This window comes from Homo sapiens, chromosome 7 (assembly GCF_000001405.40).
Source record: "Homo sapiens chromosome 7, GRCh38.p14 Primary Assembly".
In the NCBI taxonomy this organism is placed as follows: Eukaryota; Metazoa; Chordata; class Mammalia; order Primates; family Hominidae; genus Homo; species Homo sapiens.
This window is the reverse complement of record NC_000007.14, coordinates 155,230,725-155,237,301: the sequence shown is the minus strand read 5'-3', so window position 1 is coordinate 155,237,301 and position 6,577 is coordinate 155,230,725.

Here is a 6,577-nt window from a genome sequence, read left to right as displayed (position 1 = left end):
CCTGAGCTGGGAGGGAGTCACAGGGCCACATTTAGGGGGATGTGTTTCTAGGTTAGAATTTTTTCTTTTCTTTTCTTTTTAAGATTAAAGTCTTGGGAATCTTTCTCTGCTTATTAAAAATAATAAATTGAAAGGGATAGGCTAGAGTTAAAAGAGAATCAATGGACCAAGGGCCTGGAGGAAATGGGGCAGGACCCAGCTGGTAGGAGGGGGTGGCTACAAGCAGAAGAAGAGGGGGGCCCGGGCCACTGAGGGGCGAGGGGCACAGATAGGGTGGAGTGGAGGGGTGTGTGAGAGACAGAGACAGAGAGACAGAGAGACAGGCAGAGACAGAAACAGACACAGAGACAGAGAGACAGAGCAAGCAAGAGAGAAAGAGAGAGGGACAGAGACAGAGAGGGACAGAGAGAGATAGAGACAGAGAGACAGAGGTAGACATAGGGACAGAGAGAGGCGTAGGAAGGCTGAATGTGGGATTCACTCTGGCTTTCTCGTTAGCTCTGTGCACCAGGGGAAGCCCTGTTGCTCCAGCTGAAGTGGGCAGAGGCCTGGCAGCCTGGGGCAGGAGGGCAGAACAGCTCTCTGAGGATGGCAGCAGCACTGCTGGGCGCCGTGAGCCCTGGGCTGGAGCAGGGATGGCAGTGGCACCCTTGTGACTGAAGCTTTCTCTAGGAGTTCTGGGAACACCAGGGTAAGGCGGTGGCAGGCGGGCAGGTGCCGGAACAGACCTGTGTGGCATGGAGATGTGCACAGGGCAGGGTGCAGGAGAGCCCTCGGTGCTGGGCCGGGGACTCTGGGAAAGGCTGGAGAGGAAGTGAAGCTAGAGTGGGCTGAGGGGGTGCTAGGGGCCTCGGTGGGCCTAGAAGCACGGAGGTGAAGTTAGAGCTGATGGTTTCAGAGGTGGGGTCGTTTGAGGTGGTGAGTCTGGGTGTCACCACAGGAGCCACACTTGGGGGGATCCTCAGTGATGCTGGACCCGGAGGTGATAGGGTAGAGTCGCTTTGCCTCCTTCAGATGCTTACATGGCAGCCTGGCATTCTCCACGCACAGTGAAACACCGAGCACGTGCCCGCCAATGGTGAACAGGGAGCTTCATCTCAGCGCCCAGTGCATTTACTGTCCCTGCCGGGCCACCTAGCACAGCTGTTGAGAGAGACAGTGGGTACATTTGCAAAAGGCGTTGAATTTGTGAAGTGCCTTCATCTCCAGTGACTGAGCTTATATGACAGATGCCTCATACAATGGCTGATGCGTGGAATTATGGTGGAGAAAAGGAATTCTGGGAACCTGCCCCGGTGGATCTCTTCCCGTGACCACCCTGGTATCTCTTGCTCCCGCAGCGGCATCGTGATTTTCTGTTCTGTTCCCCAGCCTTGGCTGACAGAAGAGGGAACAGGCAAGGTGTGTCTGTCAGAATTAGTTATGACAGCAAGCAAAGGATAATTCCAACTAACAGCATTGTGTAAAGGATATAAGACTTCTCTGTCACAGCTAGGAGGCCTGGAAACATTACATCCTTGGCTGAAACGTGCCCCTGGGGCAGGGAACTGGGTTCCTCCTTAGCCCTCTGTTCCACTGTGCTTGGATTCCATTCCCAAGGTTGCTCATAGCCCAGGAGAGCTGCCAGGGTGCCAGCTCTTACATTCCTATTCTAGCCAACAGGGAGGAAGGAGGGCAAGAAAGATTATGCCCTTCTCTTTTGGAGCACTTCCAAGAAGGTGCCCAGGCCAAGTCTACTTCCATCCCATGTCCTGAACTTCGACGTGGCCACAATTCACTGCATGAGGAGCTGGGAAACAGAATCTTGATTCCAGATGGCCACAGAGAGAGCTCAAACTCGGTTTTTCCTTACTGAGGAGGACAGGCAGAATGGATATTGGACACGGTTGGCTGTGCCCCAAAGAGAAACTAAAGAGCGGCATCTTAGGATGATAAAAGGTGACTCAAATGTGCTGTTGCTTCTTATTCGTTTAGGAAACAGGGTAATAATAAAAAGGAGAGTGTGGGACTTTGACCCTTAAAAGAATCAGCCTATTGGAGCCAACTGATGCAGGGGAAAAGCATTTGCACTCATGGGGAAGAAGAACAGTAGCCTGATCTCTGGCCTTTGAGTTTTAATCCACAGCTGACAGTAAACCCTCTTCTGATGTTTATGACAGGCATGAGTGCAATCCCTGACCAGATCAGCCAACGCTGCTCCTCCAATGACACAGAGGAACGTCTTCCGAAAGCATGGCCGGCCCTCGCGTGACCTTCCATTGAAACTTGCCCACGTCAGCCTCAGGCTATGCTGTTGCCCCAGTTTAATCATTAATCACCTCACTTTTGCTCTCCAAAGTTTCCAGGTTTTGACAGTAGTCTGAACCACCTGTGTCAGAAGTGCCTAGAAGCTTGCTAAAATATGGATTTCTAGGTTTCATCTCAGAAATAGTCATCAAAACCCTTGGATGGCTGGGCGCGGTGGCTCACGCCTGTAATCCCAGCACTTGGGGAGGCCGAGGCGGGTGGATCACGAGGTCAGGAGATCGAGACCATCCTGGCTAACACGGTGAAACCCCGTCTCCACTAAAAAATCCAAAAAAAATAGCCGGGCTTGGTGGCGGGCGCCTGTAGTCCCAACTACTCGGGAGGCTGAGGCAGGAGAATGGTGTGAACCTGGGAGGTGGAGCTTGCAGTGAGCCGAGATCAGGCCACTGCACTCCAGCCTGGGCGACAGAGTGAGACTCTGTCAAAAAGCAAAACAAAACAAAACAAAACGCTGGACATAGGGTCTGGGATATTGCCTTTTAAAAAACATGCAATAAAACTTGAGAAGCAGTGTTCTCATGCTGTGTCTACACCACCGCAGGCCCTCCATGTATTTTACAGATAAGAAAAGCCAGGTCTGGGGATGAAGGGACAGAGCAGAGACTTGGACTGAAGTCTCCCGGCTGTCATCCTCGTGTGTTCCCCCAAGGCCACCTTGCTGGATGGTTGAGGCCCTGGCCCTGGTTCCTTGTGGTTCAGTGCCCTCCAGTGGAGCCCTGACTGATGCCCATGCCACAGCTGCCTCTTGGGATTGTTCTAAACATCAAATGGGGTAACAGCCGCAAAAGGGCTCTCGGTCAGAAGGCCATTCGGCTGAGAGTGTGTTTGCCTTCTGGGCGTTTTGGGGTGAGGCCGTGGTTTTGTATACTTACATTTTTGTTTAAGGATCTAATTTATGACCAAGACGTACCACACTAGGCATCTGGTGGGCACGTGGTCCTGCTGCCCACGTGCTGCCCACTGGCTGAAGCTGCGTGGTGCTGCTGCACTGGCTGAAGCTGCGTGTCTCTGCTGAGTGAGAAGTCGAGCGCATGGGAGGGTGGAGGCCTGTCCTGGGTCAGGCTGAACGGTGGCTGAGAGGACGTCGGGCTCAGAGACCCTGGCCCACCAGACCCTCGGCATTCCCAGCCTCCTTAATGTGCTGTGCATTCCCTCAAATTATCCACAATCCGGCACCACCCAGAGTCCACGCTGACGCAGCTGCGCGTCTCTGAGGGCCCAGGCAGAGCTGTCCTTTTGAAGCTTGTCTCTGGGCTGTGTCTGCACCAGAAACCGGCTCGCCTTGCCTGCCCCACCGTGTCCTTGACAACAGCTCCTATTTCCTTTGTTTAAGACAGAGCATAAATATTAGTGGGCGATTTAGTTACGAACCTAACAGGGATGTCTTGGAGACAGCTTTAGTGCAGAAGCCAATGAATTTGGATCTGTCTAGTGCAAAGTTCAAAGCTACTTAAAGAAAGCTTTTCGTTTGTTTGTTTTCCTTTCTCTCTTCATTTGGTGAAATGTCTGGGAAGTGTACGGCTGGCAGGCTGAAAAAGTCCTGGGAGAAAATAACTCGTGCTGGAGAGCAGCAAAGTCCTTCCCACTGGAACTTCCTAGACGAGTCCTTTGGGTTACACATCTGGAATTACTTTTACTAGACAAATCTCTTTTCACTGGACGTCTCTGATTTCAGAATGTGTGATAATTCAGACACCAGTTTGTTGATCTGAAGTTGCCTTCATCATATTCCATGATAGAGGATTTACCAAGCAAATGTCTGAATTATCGATGCTTTGAAGTCCTGTAAGGCCCATTTTGAACCGTAGGAACTGAAATGTTGGTTGATTAGAGGCACTGATGCTCTGGGTGTGGTGTGACAGAAGCGTGAGAGCCGTGTGCAGGGCCTGGGTTTGCAGCCTGGCTCTGCCCCTTGCAGGCTTTGCTCACGGGGTCCCTGTGAGCTGCTTACTCACCTGCCGGGGAAGTGAGCGAGTCCTTCAAAGGAGGCGTTGAAAGCCGACAACAAAGGCACCTTAATACACCTTTGAAGATACTGCCTCGGTCTCAACTCCACCACGAAGACTAAGACGTCTCTGTCTGCCCTGTGAAAGCGTTTAAGGACATGGCTAATTTCTGCCATCAATAAATTTACTGGTCTTATTCTATTGGGTCACTATAAAACTGGCAACAAGCAAACAGGTCTTCAGCAAAAAAGCACTTTGATGCTCATATTACCCCAAATCACTGTGATCATTAAGGATAGAAATCAAGAAGGAACAACAAAATGTGCAGGCCCTAAAACAGAAAGGACGGACGGAGCGAAGCCTCCTGCCTCCTTCCTCTTCCCAGCTTTGCAGCAGGTCCTCAAGTGGGCAAGGGCTGTGGGAGTTTTCTTTTGCTGCTATTATGGTAAATTACCACAAACTTAATGGCTTAAGACAACACAAATTTATTATCCGAGAGTTCTGTGGTTCAAAGGTCCACTACGGGTCTCACTGGGCTACGGCCAGGTGTCAGCACACTGCATCCTTCTGGGGACTCCAGGGGAGCCCCCGTTTTCTTGCCTTTTCCAGGTTGGAGGATGGCCACCTCACTGGGCTTGGGCCCTTCTGTCTTGCAGCTGCAGCAGCATCTCTCTGACTGTATCTGGCAGCGCAGCCCTTCCTCCGACTCCTCTCCCTTCCTCCTCACCAGAAGCACCTGGGATGACATTCACCCACTGGATGATCCAGGAGAATCTCTCGTCTCAAGGCCACCGATGAGCAACCATCATCCTCTGCCATGGAACCTGACACAGGCTCGCATTCCAGGGATCCAGACGTGGATGTCTCTGGGGCCATTGTTCCCTCGACCACAGGGAACAACTGCATGGGTTTCCACTGGTCAAGACAGAAATGTCGCATGACTTGGCCGAAGCAGCTGCAGTGGGCAGCCAGGGGTGGAGGCCTCTGTCCTCCACTTTGAGGCTCTGGTCAGGCGTTTAATTCCTTGCTCCGGAGATATTCCCAGTGAGTCGGCTCTCGTTAAATCTCAGAAAATTCGGTGCTGTGGAGTGGATGAGACTGGTGTATCATTGTTTAGGCCTCATCTGAGCCTATGGATTCTGTCTCAGTGATGGGGACCAGCCCAGGCCGCTGTTTCCACAAAAGAATGACTCTAACAGCAGAAAGGAGAGATGTGTGCAGAGTGAGACCTCTGGCCTGCCATGTGGGGGAACCCGCCCGGCTCCCGGCAGTGTCTCTTGGGTGGCCTCTGGGCCACCAGCGTCTGAATCCCGGAGGACTTGTTAAGGAAGGAACCTACTCCCAGTCTGGTCCCTCAGAATCAGAGTCCCTGGTAACAGGGGCCAGGGAAGCTGCACTTTTCCCCTGTGATTTTCACGTAAAATGAAGCTTTGGAATCGCCAGTACATGGGCATGGGCATGGGCATGGGCATGGACGGGCCAGCCGGATGGACGGCCGCTGCCGAGACGGAAACCTGGGAGGACTGGTCGGTCTGTCTCCTTCAGGTAGTGCTCAGGAGGCTCGAGCACACCTCGTTCCCCGTGGCACTCATGCCCACACTCATCCCTGAAACTTGAGCCAATGTAAGAAACAGCCGTGTGTGGTGATCCATGGGGTGCTGCAGGCAACAGATGCCAAATGCGGTTTTTGTGATGGGAGTCTGGGGCGGGATAACTGTGGGTGCTGCGGGCAACAGACCCCGAATGCGGTTTTTGTGATGGGAGTCTGGGGCGGAATAGCTGTTCTAGAGCCGTGAAGGGATCAAGCACATTCCCAAAGCCCCTGCTCGGCATAATGACCTTATTAAGTCCACGTTTTCTTTCTTTTCCTGGTAGATAGGATCTTTTCTAACCTTTTCCACCTAAGATTCATACATAATTCCCTTCCCCAGCATGATTTGTAACGGCTGCACGGTGGACCATCCCTTGGGAGGCCCATCATCATTCACCTCAACAGGCCCCTTTCCTGGGCCTTTAGGTAAATCTACATGTTCTTTTCGACTGAGGCTTTTTGGCAACCACACATGAAAGTGATGGTCTGGGCCGGGCGAGGTGGCTCACGCCTGTAATCCCAGCACTTTGGGAGGCCAAGGTGGGTGGATCACCTGAGGTCAGCAGTTCGAGACCAGCCTGGCCAACATGGCAAAACCCTGTCTCTACTAAAAATATGAAAATTAGCTGGGCATGGTGGCACATGCCTGTAATCCTAGCTACTCGGGAGGCTGAGGCAGGAGAATCACTTGAACCCAGGAGGCAGAGGTTGCAGTGAGCTAAGACTGTGCCAC